Source organism: Homo sapiens, chromosome 9 (assembly GCF_000001405.40).
Source record: "Homo sapiens chromosome 9, GRCh38.p14 Primary Assembly".
Lineage (NCBI taxonomy): Eukaryota > Metazoa > Chordata > Mammalia > Primates > Hominidae > Homo > Homo sapiens.
In genome coordinates, this window is record NC_000009.12 from 146,260 (window position 1) to 170,277 (window position 24,018).

Consider the following 24,018-nt stretch of genomic DNA (forward strand, 5'->3'; position numbering starts at 1 on the left):
TCATAGAAGTGGGCAAATGGTGTAAGATTTGAATCACAGTTGAATCAAGATTGAAAATTATTTGTTTATTACTTCAATGAATTAGGTTTCTTTAAAACTTTCAATTATCTTTTCAATCCTGAAATTTATGAGCTTTTCAAATACATTTTTATAGCTAAAAAATCAGCTAAAGAACAGAAACTTTTCCAAGCAGCTTATTACTCAAAAGATGAAACAAAAGAAATGACAAATAGAATTAACAAATAGGTACATTCCAGATACCTCTGCAATTTTTGTATTTCTTTTATACCCCCTCCCTTGATATAACATGTAATATAAAAATGAGGAGTCAAATAACCAATGTACAAAATATTAAGTTACTCTAGGACCCTGATCTTCACGTGATTTGATTTCATTCATTCAGAATGGGGCTGCATGTAGGAAGAAAATTCCCACCATCCGAATAGACATTATTTCTCTTAGAATTATTTAATGATAATTACTCATTTAATTGAATCCAATGATTCAAATCAGGTGAGAATAAATAACATATCACAATTAGCATTAGGTTTGGTTTAAATATAAAAAAGCAAATTTATAAAGACTGGTGATTGAGTTATAATTTTAACATAAGCCCAGAAAACCACAGAGGACAGGCCGGGCGCGGTGGCTCATGCCTGCAATCCCAGCACTCTGGGAGGCCGAGGCGGGCGGATCACAAGGTCAAGATCAAGACCATCCTGGCCATGGACAACGTGGTGAAACCCTGTCTCTACCAAAAATACAAAAATTAGCTGGGTGTGGTGGCACGCACCTGTAGTCCCAGCTACTCAGGAGGCTGCGGCAGGAGAATCATTTGAACCCAGGAAGTGGAGGTTGCAGTGAGCCAAGATTGCACCACTGCACTCCAGCCTGGCACAGAGTGAGACTCCGCCTCAAAAGAAAAAAAAAAAAAAAAAGAACAGCAGAGGACAGTGATTTCTCATAATCAAAGCTAAGGTGAAGAAATATTTAAAGAAAATGACAAATGTATAATTTCAAATTTAGATTCCAGAAGCTTGCCAAACATTTGTTAAATTTTCTTACAAGGAAAAAAAACATCATTGGTCAGATTCAAGATTTTTTTTTCTTTAATGCACAAACATATAAGAAAAACATCTCCTTTATCTTAGGACTGACCAACTGTGCCTGCTTTCTTTATTCTCAACAGTCTATCACATACTCGTACTCGTGGCAACAATACTGTGTTAGATTACGAATGCTTGTCTTGGCAAAAGAGAGACAAATTCCCATCTTATTACTCCAAAGTTCTATGTTAGTAGACTATAACAGCAACTCAAATTCTGGGCATTTTAGATGTACAGAATTAGAAAAATGATCAAGCAAAGAAGCAAATGTTCTATGAAGAAATTTCTGAGTATCAGTTTACACTAAAAGGCCAAAGTCTTAATATTAAACATATTTCCTTTTTCACCTCCCCCTCCCCCCGCTACTGAGCATATTTATATTGACAGGTCACAGACAAGGGGCACGGCGGCTCCACTTTGGGAGGCCAAGGTGGGCGGATCACTTTGAGGCCAGGAGTTTGACACCAACCGGGCCAATGTGGCGAAACCGTCTCTACTAAAAATACAAAAATTAGCTGGGTGTGGTGGTGCACACCTGTAATCCCAGCTACTCGGAGGGTGAAGCAGGAGAATCGCCTGAACCCAGGAGGCAGAGGTTTCAGTGAGCCGAGGTCGCACCACCGCACTCCAACTTGGGGGACAGAGTGAGATTCTGTCTCAAACCAGAGTGAGATTCTGTCTCAAAAAGATAAAAATAAATAAAAATAAAAATAAAAATAAACCAAATGAATGAAGTTTCCCTCCAAGTTTGTCATCTTCATCTTAGGAAATAGCTTAAAGTTTAATAAAGTTTACACATGCCAATTTTGTGAATATCAAATTCAACACTTTGGAAACACAAGCTTCTAAATAAACTGTTTCACTGTGACAGTGTCCTTGAGAATACATGCCATCCAGAGGTAATTCTGCTTTATACTCAGATTCTTTCCATACTTCCAAAAAAGGATCAATATTAGACCTGTACAACAAATTACACTCTTTTACAGAAAACAATAAAATATCCAAGTCTCTCACCAAATTTTCAAAAAAGAGGAAAAGTGTAAGCTTCCAGATGAAAGTTTCTATAGCTTTCCCCAAATTTAGTACCACCATGAAAAACAAATTCTTCACTCATTCAAGGCATACGACTAGAAAACTAATTTCCATGGCATCAAATTAATTTCCTCCTTTGGAGATAAAACCATGAGATCTTTTCCAAAGCATTAAAATCGCCAAGAAAAAAAAAAAAAGAAAAAAAAGACCATTACCAGCATTTTAAAACTGAGTAAGAGAATGAAGTAAACAAAAAAGGGAAAGAAAAAGCTTCAAAAGTTCATTTTTCTCCTAATTTCTTGAACTCTCTATTCCAGAAGTACCTAATGTTTTTCTTAAAAGAGAGGCTTTCAATTTTTCCCTATGTCTAAAGGCTGCTTTAAGTAGCCTAAGACCAAGGACAGGAGAGTGAAAATGAAGAGGGTTTTGGCTCTCCAAGGTGGGGGTGGAATTGCAGCTACTGCTTAGGGATATTTTCCAGTGGTCATCTCTTCAAACTCCAGTGAGTCTCACAAACAGGGTGCACCAGCCAATCCAAGTATCCAGTATCTACAATGCAAACTGTAGATACTATCCAAATTGACAGTAGATAGCTCAGTAAATAGCTGAGCAAACTGCAATGATAGCTCAGTCTTGAACTCTGGAAATAAATTTCCAAAAGCCTTCCCCAGTGGCACTTCAAACTCAAAAACGCTTACAAAACTAATCACATTTTCCAAACCTGCTTCCACCACTACCCGACCTGTTGCTCCTCCTTCCTGTATTTCCTATACCTCGGAGATTAGCCTCACATTGAATCTACCTCCCAAGAGGCATGTTGCTTTTAAAATCCTTCACTAACTCCTTGCTCCCTACAGAAGAAAATCCAAACTATGTATCATGGCATTCAAGACCCTTTGTGGTAAGTTCTCTATCTCTTCAGTCATACCACTTTTTCTGTGCTACATAATACCAAGTTTTCTAGCCATTCTAAAAAATTCAAAGGTCCCTGGAATACAAAATCTTCCTTATACCTGGAAAGTTATCCCTACCCTACTCCATCTGTAAAAGCCTTATTCATTCTTTAAGACTCAGGTCAATGACTGTCTTCTCGGTCAATATTTTCCTGACTCTTTTTCAAGAAAAGTTGAGCAATCATTCCCTCTATTTTCCTATTATTATAGAACTCTGTGCTTTTAAAATTCTTGTATTAATATTAATATCTATTATGTTGCCTTTTTGTTTGTTTGCTTCTGTTTCCCCCCAATGACTGATCTCCTTAAAGGCAGAGTTTTTGCCTTATCCATTGCTTATATAGTCCTTAAAATGCTATGAAATGCATAGTAGGCAGTTTGTCAAATTAATTTAACTTATTATTGACCAGCTGTGTTTTGGTTTTCCTCTGTTCAGTCCACTTACATTTCTAAAAATTAAGAAAAAGTCTAGAGAAGATTAAAATGACACATCTTCTAACCTTTTACTCCTACTTCTGAAATCTATGTGGTTCACTAGTACTTCCATTTGCTACTAAATCAACTTAAGTCTTACCACTAAGACGATGCTACACACTATTCCTTTTCCTTACTCTTAACTACTCAAGGTGAGCCTTTTTCTACACATGCTTATAGCAGTTTATTGTCAGTACTTGTCAGCTACAAAATGGTAAAAAAATTTTAAACAAAAAATAAAACAAAACTTCTATAAGAGTGACTTTGACTATTTTGTTAACCAAATCTCCGGTTTTGTTTTTTTTTTTTTTTTTTTTTTTGAGACAGAGTCTCGCTCTGTCACCCAGGCTGGAGTGCAGTGGTGCGATCTCAGCTCACTGCAAGCTCCGCCTCCCGGGTTCACGCCATTCTCCTGCCTCAGCCTCCTGAGTAGCTGGGACTACAGGCGCCCACCACCAGGCTCAGCTAATTTTTTGTATTTTCAGTAGAGACGGGGTTTCACAGTGTTAGCCAGGATGGTCTCCATCTCCTGACCTCGTGATCCACCCACCTTGGCCTCCCAAAGTGCTGGGATTACAGGCGTGAGCCACCGCGCCCAGCCCAAATCTCCAGTTTCTAAACTGGTAAGCTCAAGTTGCTATGCCTCAAGGAATTTGAGAGAATATTTAATGTAAGATTCAGGACCCAATAGTAAGAATTGTACTCAGGACATCTGATCTTCATTGAAAAGGATTCTAATGCAACTTCAGTCCTCATAGCAAGGAAGTACTATTTCAGAAAGTCCCTAGATTCTCAGATGCACTGGCAAGCACCATACACTGAATAATTCACAGAAGATTTTAGTCACTTGCTCACTCATCCACTTGAAGTAAGAAAAATCAATCACTGCATGTTTATTGTTCTATAATAAAGCAAATGTTAGAAATAAAAGTTAGAAATGTCAAACACACTAAATTGTTACATAATAAACTAATCAAGACACAACTTTTATTCAGGACATGGATATTTCTGAAATGAAAACAAAAGAAGAGAATTGACTTAAAATGTTTATAAATACGAATATTATGACAGAACCAAAGCTATTTATGAGCATTATTTTTAAAAGCTTGTTTAAGTATTATGCACTTGTCTGTGTGACATTTTGTAAAGCGGAGAAAAATTAAGGAGAAAGGAATTGTAGAACACTAACAGGAAGAGGACAGATACTGAGGAATGGCTCATAGTATAAGTGAGATTATCAGAGACTTTCTACAATGGAATTTGAAATGCAGGGAGCACATTTGGTGTATGGTTGTAGAGGACTTACACTAAGGGCATTCTTCTGCTACCTCTGCCAGCAGATGAGTGGCTCCTGAGAATGCATACCAAATTAATTCCCCAGCTGTTCACATGCATATAAGCAGCTGCTGCTGTTACTGCCTAACACTTATGGCAGTCTGGCAGCACCTCTAATCTCTGCCATAGCAGACAAGCCACTCACCTAAGGCCTCTGCTGTACTTCCAAAGAAAGAATTTCTCCAGTAGAGACTGAGTGGAACTAGACTGCCAGCTGTGAGCCTCAGAGCTCCTGGCTGCCTGTTGCTGAGTCTATTAGCTGCTGAGCCTTTCTCACCAAAAAAAAAAAAAAAAAAAAAAAAATGAGCTTAATAAAATAACCCTGCACAGAAATTTTCTGAAATTAAGATAACATTCAATGGAAAACAGAATTTAATCTACAGAAATACACTTCACAGATGTTTTAGGAACAGAACCTAGAGAAAATGAAAGTCAAAATTTAATAAAAGAATTTGTCAGGAACTTCAAGGTAAAGACTCCATGTATTTTTTGGCAACTATAAAACACTAAGAAGGCTTTTTAAATATTAAAAAGCCATTTAAACACTTCAAATTAAGATTCCTCAATATACTTCAGATTTCTGTACTGAGTTACCCTCTCGAGTGTTTGGAAGTCTTTTCTTCCTCATTAAGCAAACACTTACACAGTGTTATCATGGCTTTGTATTCTTAGTTTTGAAGACAGGCAAATGTACTAGCCAAATATGCCAAACTAACTTATTAAGAGCATTCCAAACAACATTTTGGATCCAATTCTTTTTAAATGCACTTAGATCTTTCTTATATTAGAATCAAGCATATTTGTCAATTATTTAATGTTTATTATTAATAACTAAAATGATTTGTTATTAATAGGAATAGCTTTTTTAAAGTACCTTGATCTTTGTGTTTCTAAGATTTGTCCTAGTCCATTTATGGATCTGAAATAAATAATAAATGAGGAAGACAAAGTTTAAAAGTAAAAATTAACTTTTTAAAAAAGTATACAAAGTATATTGTTTCTAAAACAGGAAATAAGCATACCCAAATACATCTGGAACCAGAAAAAAATTAAAAACAGAAAAACAAAACTTGCTTTAAAAAATAATTGTGATTTTCCTTCAAACAATAAATCACATATATTCCACTCATACATTAATAAAACATATATGCAAAAATTCGCACAACTGTCAGATTAAGGGCTACTTTGTGGTTAATAAAAAGACACTTCACTTTAGAAAAAATCATTCATAAATAGTCAGTTATCCTAGTGTTCTTAAAAATGAGTAGATACTCAAAATTTTTACGGTGGTCACTTTTTTCCTCAGGCATACATGGTAGAAATGGCTATATACACACTAAAAATAAAAACCTAGTTGCAAGTTGCTTTGCCCCCAGCCTGTCCTTAGTATTCACAGTAATTCTAAGTCACACATCCCAGGTTCCTTTATAGAATAACCTCGTCAGTTACCTAATTAGGCTCTCTACCCGTTATGCCTGTTCTCCCTCTTTTGATACTATAGAATATGGCTTCGTATGGCACCAAAAAGTACCTGTTAAATTCTTTTCAACACACTGTACACCTCATCTATTTATCTTTTCCATTGCCTATCATCAATCATCAATTCTCTATCATGAATTCAATTGTCTTTAGGGTTACTTACCCAAGATTCTTGCTACTTGTTCAAGTTTGTTCTCATGGGTAAGGCTTCCCACATATAATGATTCTGAGGCAAGTCTCTCCACTATTTTACAAAATTCTTAAATCTTCTTTTTTGAATACACTCTAGTCTGATGGCTAATTCCTCTCAAACATGTTTACCTTTTTTCACCTCCCCAAATATCATTCTGAGTCAGTCACAAGTCTGATATAAAGGGAGGGTAAAAGCCAAAAGGGTGTGTAATTTATCAAATTGCTTCTTCCAAATTCATTTCTAGTACTGTTAACAAGCTGGCTAATAGTCAATATTGTCAGTGTCAGAGATTTAGCTTAGGTCTCTATAAGGATATAAAAGTCAAGTAATAATTATCATTCCTTTTATGCCAAAAACATTTGCTAAATAGATTGTGTTCTTCTTAGCAATCACAATGGTGCACAAGATTTATGAAGAGAAACAAGATTAGAAGACCAGTGTCAAAAAATGTAAAAGCAATCTTCATTCATCACTTTCTCCTTTTCAAAATCAGCCATCTTTTTCTTTCTTCCCTTTTTTACTATACCTTGAACTTACTATGTAAGCTAAGAAAAAAATTACATAATAATAGCTAACAGAGCACTTACTATGTGTCAGCACTGTGCAAAGTTTACCAACATTGTCTCATGTAATACTCAAAGCAAACTTATGATAGGCATTATGCCTTTTACAGAGGAGGCTTTAAAAGGGTAAATAAGCTCCCTAAGAAGACAATGAGAAACAGACCAAGGATTAGAACCCAAGCAGATTCCAAGGTCTGTGATCTTCAACACTACGCAACAATACCTACCCTCCACGTGGAGACATTATATTTTTTTATAGTAAAGTTTAAGGACATTACTATTAAAATAAGATGAAATATGTGGAAAAAATATGAATTTCTTTCTTCCACAATCATTAATCATGGCAAATAATCTCCTAATGAGCCTTACCTTTATTGATTCAATTGATAATATATACTATATGAACTGAGATGACAGATTCAAAATCTAATGTCAGTAGAACTTATAAATACTAAGAATAGTAATTTTGAGCCATCACGCTCAAAGCATTGTACACATTAAAGATAACCAATACTAATAGCTACCGAATGTCTCTCTGTATAGGGCTTTTATTAGTTCAGGTCTTACAAAATAATTCAAAACAAAGCCCCTGAACTATAACCTCATTTGAAAAGCCCATCTTTGTTTTCAAAAGGAATGGGAGTCTCCAGAACAGTCAGCAAAATGACTGTTAGCACATATTTGAGCATCATTCATATTGTCCTGATTGTCCTATGCTGATCAGCCTTGGCTATGGACAAAGAAGATATTAAAGCAAGCTGGAAGACAAGGCATGGTTGACAGTTAAGGAAGATGAAGTCAACAAGAGTTCAGGGAAAACTGAGACCACTTGAGTCAGGGAAGACTTCACATAGGAAGGGGGGAGAGACAGAATAGGCTCTATAGAATAAATTAAAAAAAAAAAAAGCAGAACAAGAAAGAACTCAGGGATTGGCAGAGTGAGAATACATTACGAGTAAAGACAGGAACTGACAGGATGCATCCATGGGAAAGTGAATTAACCATCCTGGGTAAAGTTAGGGAAGACTGACATTAGGAAAGAGTCAAAGAGAAGACAGGAAAAGAAAGATGGAGTGCGAAGACCCTGAATATCAGTCTATTAACTGTGAACTATATTCTGCAAGCACTGGGGACTAATTTTATGTATTACCATTTATATAACAATTAGCCATCAACAATATATGTGATTCCCTAACGTTCTTGAAGCAGCTCAACCTTATACCTTAAGTTTCTACAGGGCAACAATCAGAGTAAAAAATATTCTGTGTATACAACATGGATCTGTAGGCACTTAACACACTTATCATTTCGTACCTAATTGTCGTTCTTAATTTCTTTACATCTTCTTCTGGAACCAGGTCTGTTTTATTAATGAGAATGGCATCTGCCAAAGCAACTTGTCTAAAATAGCAAACAGAGAAATGTTAAGAAACTTTAAATAATATACACGCATGCAGATTAATACATCAAAAGAGGAATGTTAACAAATCAAAAATAAATAAAAACGCCTCATGTAGATCAATATATCAGTTAAGAATTATCTAGTGCTCTATAGGAGTGACTCAGTTTACTCCTAATCCGCTAATTTTTCAATGTGGATGAATTGTGTTCATTACTATGCAAGTTCAGATTTCACATTACCCATTCGCAAAGTATTTACTAAGTTCTGTTACTTGCTACTCTTGTGCTACAAAGATAAGTCTCAAAAAGTTTACAATCAAAAGGATGATTTTAAACTCATAATTTTCTTTGTGAAGAAAAGCATAAAATTCAGATATCCAATATGGTAAAAAGAAGAAGAGTTTACCTACTAAAATACTGTAATATTTACCAAAATTTTCAAAGAAATAGAATAACTTCACTTAATACTAAAAACTGTATTAAACAGGTTTTTTAAAACTATACTTCAGAGCTGGGCATGGTAGAGCACACCTGTAGTCCTGGCTACTTAGGAGGCTGAGGAGGGAGGATCCCTTAAGCCCAGGAGTTCAAGTCCAACCTGGGCAACATAGCAAGACTCCATTTCTTAAAAAAAAATAAGCTATACTTCAGAAGATATATCAGGATATTGCCCAAATGTCTTCTTTATCACTATAAATATACTGTATATTATCTCTGTAAAGAATCCAGTTGACTGAATGCTAGATAACAAAGTAGATGATAATAATCAGAAGCTCTATTTTCTATTAGCAGGATAGTAAAACTGGAAATTCTTTCAATTTTCCTCAATTATTCAGGGTCTTATGCTTTATCTCAAAGAATACAACTAAATTCTCAAAACTAAATTCACTTTAGTTCACTGAAAGAGCAGGTTTCAACAGTATGTACATCACAAATCCAATTTGGCTATTTTCTATTTGGCTTATTTATATTTTCTATAATAACCATATTTTCATAAGGAAAACAGTTACAAAAATACTTAAGTTCAGCCAGGCACAGTGGATTCATGCCTGTAATCCCAGCACTTTGGGAGGCCGAGGCGGGTGGATCGAGCTGGTCTCAGGAGCTCGAGACCAGCCTGGCCAACATGGTGAAACCCCATCTCTACTAAAAAAAATAAAAATAAAAATAAAAAAATAAAAAAAAAATGCAAAAATTAGCTGGGCATGGTGGCGGGTGCCTGTAATCCCAGCTACTTGGGAGGCTGAGGCAGGAGAATCGCTTGAACCTGGGAGGCGGAGGTTGCAGTGAGCCTGCACTTCAGCCTGGGTGACAGTGAGATTCTGTCTCAAAAAATAATAATTATTATTATTATTATACATATATATATATATATAAAATCTTCAATCCCAAAGAAATTGTATAACAAGAAAATATTTTTAAATGTTAATATTTCCCGAGTTCCTCAAAATTACAGAACTCCTGTGTTCAGCATTCACTTTATGCTACGACAAAAATGACTTTAAGTAAAAGTTTAGTTATCAGATCATTATAAATAGATAGCAATAATTCAACTAAGGGAAAAAAAGAAAATAAATTTTCCTTGACTATGTTTTAAAATTTCTTAGTTTGTTTTTGGTTTTCATCTTAGTGATTTTTCTCTTTACAATTAGCCAGCAATCAATATATACTTTAAATATGAATACCTAGTAGCTTCATTGATAAGGCCATCAGGTTTCTCTTCTGTTAAATGCTAAACAAAAAAAAGTTGGAATAAAGTTACTATAATACAATAAAAAATCTAATGTCAACACAAAGGATTTTACTTTAGAGACATTTTCTTGCATCTAATAAAAACTTCAACATGTTCTCTTACTGAATACATAAATCCAAAACTAACTTTTCTAGCTAAAAGCATTTTTCTTCCCCATTTGCAATTTTTTTCTACAAGTGAACCTGTGGGGTTTTATAGGGGGAGGAAGAGGGCTTAGGATTTCATACTCCTGACCTTTTCTTTTACTTAAAAGGAAAACCCCTTTGATTCACATAATGTCATAAAAACATAGAAGATTACAGTTCAGATTTTAGGTATTTTCCTTCTTAAAAAACTGTTCTGGTTCTAAATATTCATTATTACTTATTTTTAAAAAAGGATAACCACTGAAATATAGTTTCTTAGAATCTAATATACTTCCCTTCACACCAAACCCCCATATTAGAATCTAAAATACTTCCCTACACCCCAGCCCACAATCATGCACCACGTGAACTCAGTACTAGGCCTTTCAAACACCCTAGAAACAAATAAGTGGTGGGAAGGCTGATTCAGCCCTGATTCTAGCCTAAAAGCAGTTTATCATTTAGAAACCCATACTTGCTAATCTGGCCTCTCAGTGCAACTGTTTATTTTACTGACCTCTCCAGAGTCAGGCTAACTCCAAAAAATATTTTGACACTGACTTAGAGCCCAAGTGGTAGTTTTCATCTCTCTGGAGGCAAGCTTTGTTGTCTGTTTTTTTTTTTTTCCCCCTCATAATCCTGTTTACATCCCTAACGTCATCAACATCACAAGCTTCTTCTCTGGGAAATTACACTTTTACCCTCATTACCTCAAACCTCAATAGAGGTTCCCTGTCACAATAAAAAGCTGGCTACTGAGGTTTAGAGGCAACTAGATTATAGTAATACTCTCTATTTGAAGCCAACTTTACAAATGAATTAAATCCTTGAACCTAACTTTATGAATTATATACATTTTTCTCATTTAGCTTTCATAATAATTATGGGAGATGGCTATTTTCATTTATAAAGGAAGAAACTAAATCTAACACCCTCATCATCACAGGATACTATATTTTATATACAATCACAGGGACTTTTTTTTTTTAATTGAACACACACCCATCAAGTAAAATGACATAATTTTAAAGTCTTTGTGAAATCTTTTATGCCACATAAAATCAGTCTGTGTACAATGCTACACAAATGTCAATAATCATATATCAGAGCCAAACCAGTTTCACAATTCATGGGGAGATGATCATTAGGGGTATCTGAATAGTTTGGAACCTCAGAGCAAGCAGGTAATAATTTTATTTAACAAGCTTGATGAGGTCTATAGAAGAAACATTTTTTCCTTCTAAAAGTTCAGCAAATTCTATTTTGAGGAAAACAAAACTGAAATAAAATCATGGCAATGATACTTCTACTTCAGGCAAAATCTTGTTCAATTCAACTGCAGACCCACTCTGCAATTATGGAAGTCACAGAACTTGACCAGTATTGTATCAAAATTCATTCCATGCCAAAAGACCAAGTTTAATATTTTTTTCATAATTCATCTTGGCCTGAGGCTACAACAAGTCCTATTGTTATATACTCTGCCTCTAGAGAATGAGGCTGCTAACAGACCTTGGAATGGTGCCTGGCACACAGGCTCAAGAAATATTTGTTGAATGAATTGTAATTAACACCTCCTGTTGTGGGGATACATAAAAGATGTTACATGAAAAATGCCATCTAACATGCAGCAACGAATCTCTTCCCATTAAGCAGTAAATCTACTTAACAATGATATATTTTTGGCAAGGCATCTGCCTCTGAATGATCCTATAGTACTGAAAATTCTTTTTAAACTGAAATATTTTTCAAGATATTATATTATTGACCTTATGAAAGCTTTTTTAACGTATGAAATTGCGGTTATTTGGCTATGAGTTTGTGAGGCATAAAAATGATATGACAGAAGAATTACAGATTTATTTTTGCATTTCCATGCCTAAAGGTAACTAATACAATGTTAGTTTCACAAGGTAATGTGCAATGTTTTAAATGCATTTACCTCTCCAAAATATTAGAATTCTTCACTCAAAGCTAACAGTGGTAGACTAACGTTTTACTACTTCCAGGCAGTCAGAAAGTATCAAATATAAAAATAAATGAAAATCACCCCAAATGAGAGCCTGCCAATATTTACAGCTGTATTAAAATTATATGTAATCATATACCATTATAGCAGAAGAGATAAATGTCCTCTTCTATGCCCATAGGAAAGCCATACAAACATTTAAAAAATAAGTGCATATTAACATTTATTTTCTTTAGATATCAGCCCTGCACTTCCCTCATGTGACTTCCTACCTTCCCAAGTCAAACTCTGCAAAAAGTATAAAATCAATGTCTTCTATTCAAAAGAACATTCTCCAATAATACATTCTATACCATTTGGTCATTAAGTCAGATGACTTTCATTTATAAAATAAAACAAAATGGAAATTTTGGCATTCTATTCCACCTGTATAAGTAAATGAAGAAAAAATTTTTGCAAAATATTTTTTAAATATTTTATATTACATAGATGTCCAAAGTATTCCTTATCTCTGCTTAACAACTATGGCTTTTGCTTATATATCAAAAAAGACAAAAATAATTTTGATACTAATTAATCCAACATATTCAAAAGGCTAAGGATCAAAACCCCAATTTAACTTACCACAAGAAACAAAGGAAATTAAAGGGGAGTGGTGTGAGATGTTGGTCAAAGCATACAAAGTTCGTTATACAAGATGCATAAGTCATGGAGAGCTAATTACAGCATGATGACTGTAGTTAATTCTATTGTATACTTGAATCTGCTAAAACATAGATCTTAACTGTTCTTACCACCCCCTCTCAAAAAAATAGCAATGTGAGGTGATGGATAGGTTAACTAGCTCGATTGTTTTATAATGTAATTCACACATTGTATACCTTAAATATATATAATTTTTACTTGTCAATTATACCTCAATAAAGCTGGGGGGGTTAGGGAGAGAAACAAAGGAACTCTCTGAAATAACACCACTGTAGACCTAACTTCATGAAGGGCTATAGGGTGTCCTTTTCTGCAGAAATAAAGAAAGAAGCCGGACCGAAAAAAGAGAAAGAAAGAAAAGAAAAAACTATCTTAAAACCCACTGGCTATGAAAGAACACTGCTGTTGACCAGAGTGGAAATAAATCTAGTGTCAAAGATGTCTGGTGTCATTTTTAAAAAGCAGCAGCAGGAACTATTTCTTTTAAATGGATTGGTTACAGATGTAACACTATTTTAGTTTTTAAAAAATTATTGCATAATGTCAGTCTATTTATTGTTCTGGCCTTTTCCAAGCTAACTGTTTTCTGACTGAATTGTTTCAACAGATTGTGCAATATAACAGACGAACCAAGAAGAAACCTCTCACTTGACCTTCTCTGGGTAACTTCATTCATTGCTTCTATTGCATTAAATGCTGTCACATTTGTGGAACTGAAAAGAACAATGTCAGTAGCCTGGGTGTCAAGTCCTCAGAATAGAGAGCTGTCATTTTAAGTTGTCCAATTCTTTGCCTATGATTAAAAAATGAATATTTCACATCAATGGGTGACAATCCCATTAGCATGATACCCCATGATATCAATTACCACCTCAGTTTCAGTTTGGCTGGCTGGCCACAGGGTACCATTTCTCAGCTTTACTTGTGATGGGCTGGCTCTGTGAAGCATGACATTCTTAAATTGCTGCCCATTATCCAAGTGTCATTACTTGTACTGCCTCAGAATTCTCTGAATCACAAGCAGCTACTGAGGTCAAGCTTTGCAACCAGAGGAATTGGACAAGTTGGAAAATTCTTTATATCAAGGCAAAGTTATTTATCTGGCATCCGACTTAGAAAATCTAAAGTTTCCATTATCCTGACAGTGTGTCAGTTTTGTGTAGGTATATTGATTTAATAATTTAAGAGGTTTTATCAAGGTAGCAGGAGGTTAAACGTTTACTGTGTTTGCATTATTCAGAATGTTGCTTTGTTTTTTTGGCCTCCATCATGCTGATAATAGATTCTATTTAACTCTTCTCCATACCCAACTATACATATAAAATTATTCCTATAATCATAAAATACATAAACAGTTTGACTTTTAGCATGGCATTTTCAGTCTATCAAAATAAAAAAAAAACAAAATGTCTTAGCAGTTATCTGTCACATAGGTATATCAAATTTTGTAATAAATTTATGGAAGAGGTAGATTCAAACATGCCTATAATAAACATTCAAAATGAATAATTTGGGGCTTTTTTGCTACCTCCATAAGCATTTTGCAAGAAATATGATTTCCAACAGTCATTGGAATTTTTCTGCATGAAACTGTAATACTGTATTTGGGATCATTCTTTGATTCTTAAATTATATTCATAAATTCATAAATTGAGATTTTAAACTCTAAAAAAGGAGTTTTCTTCCAAACTTTTCAAATTAGGGCACTCTATCAACGAGGGAGAGAAGGCCCAGTGAAGAGGTATTGGTAGCTATTTGACAAACCTGACATATCCCCTTAGAGCATAATTTCAGCAAAGATTTGGGGAAAAAAAGCAAACTTAAACATTAACAAGTTCAGGCCGGGCGTGGTGGCTCATGCCTGTAATCCCAGCACTTTGGGAGGCCGAGGCGGGTGGATCACTTGAGGTCAGGAGTTCATGACCAGGCTGGTCAACATGGTAAAATCCTGTCTCTACTAAAAATACAAAATTAGCTGGGCATGGTGGTGTGCACCTGTAATCCCAGATACTCAGGAGGCTGAGACAAGGGAATCGCTTGAACCTGGGAGGTGGAGGTTGCAGTGAGCCAAGATGGTGCCACTGCACTCCAGCCTGGGCAACAGAGTGAGACTCTGTCTCAAAAAAAAAAAAAAAAAAAATTAACACGTTCAGATATGAGGTTGGATACAAAACAGACACTAATTTTTAAACACTGAATTTAAACTTCCAAGAACTTACTGCTTTGGGCCCTATCCATATGCTCAGATTGGGAACGGGTCAGTGGGTGGGATGATTTCATTCTTTTCTGCCTTTAGTGGTATTTCACTTGGGAAGTTGAGAAACATCATTTTACTGTATGTAACAACATACTTTTAAAGATCTTACTAAATGCATTTTATAAATTAAACCTCATTTAAATGCATTCTAGGACCTTAGAAGTTAACAAAAACATTCATAGCAGGATGTCTTTTACACTTCATCTTAGCCAAAAGACCAAGAAGCGATGCAAGATGCCTTTTAATGGAGAGGGTCTTCTTACTAATCCTATGTGTATATCCTGATTTTCTTCAATATGTACTTTTTAAATTTTAAGTTCCAGGGTACATGCTCAGGATGTGCAGGTTTGTTACATAGGTAAACGGGTGCCATGGTGGTTTCCTGCACCTATTAACCCATCACCTAGGTCTTCAATATTTTTTAAAAACTCATTTCCAGTGTGTGTTTAATAGTAATTTAACAAGAAAAATAAGATCTCAGATGCTTTATCAAGCTCAGCTTCTTCTATGGAACAGAAAAACTTACCAATATTGGGGTTGAATCCTTGTGAAGAGTTATACATACCAAACTCTACCCTAACCCCATATGCTTATTACAAATTATAATTCCAAATTTTATCACCAAATCAAACTCAGAGTAATAGAAAAGAAATATTTAACACAAACTAATAATTAAAACACAAATTTCACCTATTGTTCAGGATATCTTTTTGAGAAAGGTTTTTGTTAAAGAAAATTTCAGATACAAACATAAAGAAAATTAAACAATCAATCCCCATATTCCCAGCTCTCAATAATGACCCACTCATAGCAATCTTTCAACTTACTTTTAATCCATATTTTGAATCCACAATAGTTATGATACCTACAAAGGAAAAAACATTTTAATCACTTTTTAAAAAGAATGTTTATTAATATTTGTACAACCATACTTCAAAATGAAAATTAAAACTAACCTATTTCAGTTCACAAATACTACTCAATAAAACAATGTACTGTTTTTTTCTCTTGCCAGTGCTGCCATTTAATTAAATTCCAGTAATAAGTCAATGCATTTCCTGAGTGGCTAGCACTATTTTAAGGCACTAGAAACGATATAAAACAAATAAAAATTTTAAATTAAATAAATAAGAAAATAAGATTTCCTTGGCACTGAAAAAGCTTACAATCCAAAATATAAGTCAAATTTCATAACATAGTCAAATGTGATAAGTACATAAGACAGGTTATTTCTAGTTTATTTTCACATAATCAAAATCAAGACTTTTCTTAAGATTTAAATTATTGCCTAAAGAATGAGACATCTTAAGGTATCATTCCTAACATCTCTCACCAAATCCAAATCCAACTCATAAATGTTCTACATAACATATGCCTAAGTTTCCAAACTACCAATTCATTTTGCAATCTCTGAATATATGCTGATAACAAAAGAATGAGTTTAATTATGCCTAAGGAATTCAACCAGTTACCCGCCACATATATTAGAGCTCAATGATGGGGCCCAGCTTAATAATTCTTAAATTTCTTAATGATTATTACTTTTGAAAAAGTAAGAAAATTTCGACTGAGAAAGGGAGAAAACATAGTCGCTTAACTAAGAAAGTTTCTAATATATTTTAAATGAAGGCATATCATTGCCCAAAAGTGTTCAGGTAAATAAAGTAAGACAGGAGTGTTTAATTCTTATCTTCAAGAGAAAATAAAAGCAAAAATATGATCCTCATATTGCCTGGAGGATTAAAATAAAAGGCTCTAACATTATATTAAGGGCATAAATCAAACAACAGAGGATACAGAAAACCTACAAAGCATTTTTTTTTTTAAAGAAAACCTTAGTGGAAGCACTAAATTGGAAGTTGAGTGACATCGAGTTCCACCACTGTCTGGGGTTTTTTAATCTATATGAACAAAGATTTCATCATTAAACTAAAGTGTGAAAAGAACAACAATGCAAGGAATTAAAGTTATAATATGAATGAACAACAACAATAAGCTTAACCATAAAGATTTTACTAAAAAACAAAAGAGGCAGGGTGTGGTGGCTCACGCCTGTAATCCCAGCACTTTGGGAGGCCGAGGCTGGCGGATCACCTGAAGTCAGGGGTTCAAGACCAGTCAGGCCAACATGGCGAAACCCCGTCTCTACTAAAAATCCAAAAATTAGCCAGGTACGATGGTGCACGCCTGTAGTCCCAGCTACTCGGGAGGCTGAGGCAAGAGAATCACTTGAACCCAGGAGGTAAAGGTTGCAGTGAGCCGAGATCATGCCACTGCACTCCATGCACTCCAGTCTGGGCAACAAAGTGAGACTCTGTCTCAGAAAAAAAAAAAAAAACAAGAAAGATAAAAGAAAACTGTTTTTTAACTTACCATCAAGATAAATATCACTCCCTAATTCAGCATCAACCCAAAACATAGAAGCCACTGCACCTGAAAATATATAATATTCATCAAATAAAAATATTTCTTCACACTGAGAAACATGATTCTATCCATGTTTTAATTTGCCCTGATAAAATTAACAGGTAAACACATATATCTTCTTATGGAAATTATAGTGATAGAAGCTTTAACTATTTATAGCAAAAGGGAATTATAGTGATAGAACCTTTTACTATTTATACCCATTCCATTTCCATCTCTCTTGTTATTTCCTTTAAAAAAGACCAATTCTAACCACATATAAACAAAACATCATTCTTCTACCGATGCCATAATAATTTAATTAACAGATATTATCAAACAATTTGAGCAGTATGGCTTTGTGCACATCAGACTTATTTTTATTTTCTCACCTCTTTAATATGATAATCATTCAATCATAAATAGTGAATTATCACTCTAAAGGAAAAGGAAAACAAAACATAGATAATTCCAAAATCACTTGCCCAAAAAAAATTTACTTGTAATCTGTGTAGAACTAGAAGTAAAATTATATACTCTATGGCATTACTAATTATTCCTCACACTATTTATTTAGTACTGTATAAAACCTGGGTCTTAGGAAAAATTTTTCCTAAATAATAAATTAAAACTTGCTTTTGACAGAAATTGGTTCAGTACCAAACCACATACCCTGATTAGTATGCCACAACGCAAGAAAAAGAAAACTGACAGCAAGGAAAGTATTTGATTTTTGAAAGCATCACAGGCCCAGTTAGTGACAGGGCTGTCTAAAAGAATGAGTGTAGGAGAAAAACAAGGATAATCAAACTCATTCCAGCGTCTAAAGCTGTCCACCTACTCTGCCAAGATGTGGTCCCCCAAGCATCACTCGGTGTCAACAATGAAATACCTGTCAGCTGTTTACAGTGATTACTCATGCAAGATATAGCAAGGGCCACAAGATCTAATGGTTTCCTGATACCTATTGATTTTTTTCCCAAAAACTTAATAGTTTTCCAATTTGACTCAAATAGGATTTGTGAGTAACAGGGGCTGAATCAATGTCTGTTCTTTTCAAGGAAATTACTTTACCATGACAATTATTTAACTTAGAACTGGAGCGTGTCAGTCTCCAAAACGGGAAACAACTGAATTGCCAATAAGAATTTTGTTCACTTTCTTGGCTAAAACATGATTTTAATTAATGAGGGGGGAAATTAAATCTACTGTATCACTACTCCAAACAATAAGTCATTTAAAAAAGCATGAATTTTTTCACTCAGTAAAATATCTAACATACATAAATCATTTTGTAATTTTTAAAAATTCATTGATTTTTATTCCAATAAATAGTTTACAAATCCTACTGTTAATATTTGCCTCTTAAGTTGAAATGTAAGAGTATATTAATGCTTTATTCTAAAACTGGTATTTATCTTTGATATAATACTTGCCAGACTACATGAGAAAGATCTATTTAAAATTTGGATGTAGGTATTTAGGGGGAGTAAAGATGAATGAACAAAATTGATCAGTGGCTCTCAAATCAGGGTGCTTTTCTCCCCAGGGAATATTTGGCAATGTCTGAAGATGTTTTTGGTTGTCTTAACTAGGGGAATGCTACTGGCATCTAGTGGGTAGAAGCCAGGGATGTTGTTAAATATCCTACTCTGCACAGGGCAACCCCCTCACAACAAATAATTATCCAACCCAAAATGTTATTTGTGCTGACACTGAGAAAACCTGAACTACATTTTAGAATCTCCCTTCTTCAAAATCTAATAAAACAAAAAATAAAAACAAAAAATAAAACAAAAAGGCCAACATTTTATTAGCAGCAACCAAATATAAAAGGGCCTGCCATAAATTTTGAAGACTGATAGTCAAAATAAGAAACAAAGTTATATGTGATTGATGGTCATTCCCAACTCTACCCCTACCTCCAATAAGAGGTTGTAGGGAAATAGTTTACAAAATCCTAAACACTTACCAGAAATACACTCCAAAATGACAAAAAGTAGAGCCGAGGAATGAATAAGCAACACAAGGAAAAGTCAACAAAAAAATTTCAAGAGTGAGTTTTAACCATCTCTTTGCTTTGGGAAGGAGAAGGTCAGGTCACATTCTAGGGCTCAGAACAAAGAGAAATGAGAGCTCTGAGGTCGAATGATGTCCCCATACAAGGCAAAGGAATTTTATTCATAAGCAGTTGGGCAGACCCAAGAGTGAAATACTTGGTACTTCAAGAGAGCAGAGCCTAAAAGCCACATTGCCCCATTTGGCTCTCTGAATCACCACTTTTCCCTTCTCTTTCCCTCCACTCCAACAATATACAGCTTTCAAACTAGGGCTCAGGAGAAAAACAAACTTGGGTAAGGAGAGTGGAGTATTAAAAATATTTCCCATCAGCACCACATAGAAGTTCTCCCACATCAAGAAGAAACATGTATGCATATGTATTACAGCCTGACAAAAAGAAACACGCACATACAGGGAATAAAAAGCAAGAAAGAACACAAAATGAAGAAATGAATAGGGCACACAAGTGGCAAAGAACCCATTCTGGAAGGATACATAACCCAATAAAAACTAAAGAAAATTCTCAACAACTTCATCATAATGAAGAACTTGAAAACAATACAACCTTATAATAAACAAGCTCAAAAGCAAGAAGAAGCAGAATAAGATGAAAATGCGTTTGTAGCGCTAAAGAAACTTAGAGCCTATATAACACAATGACTTAACCAATTAATTCATTTAAAATATCAAAAACAGGACAGACACTGGAGAAAACAGAATTATTGACAAAAAGAAAGGCTTCAGATGATCACAGTAAATGCAAAGGTAAAAGACAAATCAAAGCAATTAGAATACATACGAACAACAAAAGAAAATTCAGTATTAAAAAAACTGGTGTCATGAAGTAGAGGATCTAATAATTTGACCAAAAAAAAGTATTCATGGTAATAAACAAGGAAAATGTTCTTAGAAGAACTAAGGGCATACTATAATTTAGGGAAAAATGATTATAAGTGACACTTAGATATACCTTGTTTATATTACTGAATTTCAAAAATAAAGAAGAAAACTCTCAGGCATTTTAGATTAAAAAAAAAAATTGCCTTCAAGGAGGTAGGGAGAAAAATCAGACTTTTCTACAGTAACACTAGATGTCCCAAAATAATAAAACAGGGACCACAAAGTTCTAATGAAAGTGTTCCCAAACAAGTTATTTTTCAGGAACGAAAGCAATAGACAGACATTCTCAAGCATTAAAGAAAACAGCAAGCATTGAAACTCAGAGACTATAATACTCACAAATTCTTCCTAATAAAAAGAGAAAACATTGGACAAAGAAATCCAGCCAATCAAACACTAGGAGATTATGGAACAACATTTACAAAGTTGAGGGGGAATAAAGTGTGACTGATAAATTTTATACCTAGCCAAGTAATCCTTCAAGTAATATAAAAACAAAAGACAAATATTTTGAATCAATGAAGTGTATAAGAACCCAAAGAATGCATGCAGTACCTGTAACTTGAAAAGACTGCCTGACAATGAAATTCAATCAGGAGATGGACTAACTCGGGAATGGAGAAGCAACAGTACTGGTAATAAGCACCAAAACTATTAAAACATAGAACTAAAAGAATTATGACAGAACCATGACAACATAAAGAATATGATCAACATGAAACTAGGCCAATTAATATCCTACAATGGCCTGTAAGTGTTCAAGTGAAAGGAACAGTCACCTGTTTCTCACTTTAAATCAAGAGCTAGAAATGATTATGCTTAGTGAGGAAGTTATGTTGAAAGCCAAGATACGCCAAAAGCTAGGTCTCTTGAGCCAGTTAGCTAAGTTGTGAATGCAAAGGAAAAGTTCTTGAAGGAAATTAAAAGTGCTACTCCAGTAAACACACAAATGATAATAAAACAGCCTTATTGCTGATATGAAGTGGTCTGGATAGATGATCAAACAAGCCACAATGTTCCCTTAAGCCAAAGCCTAATTCAGAGCAACCCTAACTCTCTTCAGTTCTATGAAGGCTGAGAGAGGTGAGGAAGCTAGAGAAGAAAAGTTGGAAGGTAGCAGAGGTTGGTTCACAAGATTTAAAGAAAGAAGCCATCTCCATAACATAAAAGTGCAAGGGAAAGCAGCAAATGCTGATATAGAAGCTGTAGTAAACTACCTAGAAGATGTAGCTAACATCATTCATGAAAGTAGCTACACTAAGCAACAGACTTATTTTTTATTTATTTATTTATTTATTTTGAGATGGAGTCTCGCTCTGTCACCCAGGCTGGAGTGCAATGTGCAATCTCAGCTCACTGCCACCTCCGTCTCCCGGGTTCAAGCCATTCTCCTACCTCAGCCTCCCAAGTAACTGGGATTACAGGCTCCCACCACCAAGCCAGGCTAATTTTTGGTATTTTTAGCTGAGATGGGGTTTCACTATGTTGGCCAGGCTGGTCTTGAACTCCTGAACTCGTGAACTGCCCACCTCGGCCTCCCAAAGTGCTGAGATTACAGGCATGAGCCACCGAGCCCGGCCAGCAACAGATTTTTAATGGAGATGAAATGGCCTCCTTTTGGAAGAAGATGCCATTTAGGACTTTCATAGCTATAGAGAAGTCAATGCCTGGCTTCAAAGATTCAAAGGACAGGCTGACTCTCTTGTTAGAGGCTAAAGCAGCTGGTGACTTCAAGTTGAAGCCAATAATCATTTACTATCCTAAAAATTCTAGGGCCATTAAGAATTATGCTAAATCTCCTCTGCCTGTTTTCTATAAATAATAAAGCCTAGATGACAGCACATCTGTTTACAGCACGGTTTAGTTTAAGCCCACCATTGAGATCTACTGCTTAGAAAAGAAAAGATTCCTTCAAAATATTATTGCTCATTGACAACGCACCTGATCACCCAAGAGCTGTGATGGAGATGTACAAGATTAATGTTGTTTTCATGCCTGCTAACACAACATCCATTCTGCAGCCCACTGATCAAGGAGTAACTTTGACTTTTAAGTCTTATTTAAGAAATATATTTCATAAGGCTATAGCTACCATAGACAGTGATTCCTCTGATGGATCTGGGCAAAGTAAATTGAAAACCTTCTGGAAAGGATTCATCATTCTAGATGCCATTAAGAACATTTGTGATTCATGGGAGATCAAAGTATCAACATGAATAGGAGTTTGAAAGATGATTCCAGCCCTCACAGATGACTTTGAGGGATTCCAGACTTCAATGGAGGAAATAACTGCCGATGTGGTGGAAACAGTAAGAGAACTAGAATTAGAAGGGGAGTCTGAAGATGTGACTCAATTCCTGCAATCTCATAAGAAAACTTTAACTAATGAGAAGTTGTTTCTTATGGACGGGAAAAGAACGTGGTTTCTTGAGATGGAATCTACTCCTGGTGAAGATGCTATGAACACTGTCAAAATGACAACAAAGGATTTAAAATATGACAGAAGCTTAATTGATAAAGCAGGGTTTGAGAGGACTGACTCCAATTTTGAAAGAAGTCATACTGTGGGTAAAATGCTATCAAATAGCATCATGTGCTATAGAGACATCTTTTATGAAAGGGAGAGTCAACTAATGCAGCAAACTTCATTATTATCTTATGAAATTGCGATAGCCACCCCAACCTTCAGTAACTACTACCCTGATTGGTCAGCACCCATCAACATCGTGGCAAGACCCTCTACCAGCAAAAAGACTATGACTTGCTGAAAGCTGAGATGATTGTTAGCATTTTTTAGCAATAAATATTTTTAATTAAGGTATGTATGTTTTTTAGACAATTCTATTACACATTTTATAGACTACAGTATAGTATAAACACAGCTTTTTTTTTTTTTTTTTTTTTTTTTTAAGAAATGGGGTCTCATGCTGTCATCCAGGCTGGAGTGCAGTGGTGCAATCATGACTCACTGCAGCCTCAAACTCCTGAGCTCAAGTGATCCTCCCAAGTAGCTGGGACTACAGGCCTGTGACATCACACCCGGCCAAAACGCATAACTTTTATATGCAATGGGAAACAAAAAAATGTGTGTGACTCACTCTATTGTGATATTCAGTTTACTGCAGTGATATGGAACTAAGCCCACAATATCCCTGCGGTATGGCTGTACAGTATAAGAATCACCTGAAGGGCTTATTAAAAACAGCTTGCTTGACCCCCTCCCTTAGAGATTCCGATTCAGTAGATCTGGGTTGGTCAAGAATTTGCCTTTCTAACAAGCTCCCAGCTGAGGCTGAGGCTGCCATT

General features: G+C 35.1%; 1 protein-coding gene across 26 annotated transcripts in view, besides 1 other annotated feature; it reads right to left on the reverse strand.

The window, feature by feature from the left end:
• Window positions 1-24,018, reverse strand: part of ZNG1A (Zn regulated GTPase metalloprotein activator 1A) — a 58,220-nt gene that overhangs the window by 25,423 nt on the left and 8,779 nt on the right. For 8 of the 26 annotated variants that reach the window (NR_174359.1, NM_001399798.1, NM_001145356.2 and 5 more), the window contains 5 exons: window positions 17,719-17,778; window positions 16,173-16,210; window positions 10,222-10,268; window positions 8,450-8,536; window positions 5,775-5,819 (listed from right to left, as the gene is read on the reverse strand). Coding sequence is in view for 18 of the 26 variants with exons in the window: in NM_001399798.1 (NP_001386727.1) it covers window positions 5,775-5,819; window positions 8,450-8,536; window positions 10,222-10,268; window positions 16,173-16,210; window positions 17,719-17,778 (277 nt within the window). In the remaining 8 variants the exon portion in view is untranslated. Of the gene's footprint in view, window positions 1-189; window positions 4,467-5,045; window positions 5,169-5,774; window positions 5,820-8,449; window positions 8,537-10,221; window positions 10,269-13,736; window positions 13,882-16,172; window positions 16,211-17,718; window positions 17,779-18,143; window positions 18,190-24,018 lie in introns of those variants that run through there. The other 18 variants (NR_174355.1, XM_005251515.2, NM_001399808.1 and 15 more) reach the window with 12 other exon arrangements.
• Window positions 13,398-14,521: an enhancer, noted in NCBI's record as "VISTA enhancer hs628". NCBI's record gives its function as "enhancer in: hindbrain (rhombencephalon)[8/10]" and the evidence as "EXISTENCE:transgenic organism evidence [ECO:0001131][PMID:17130149]".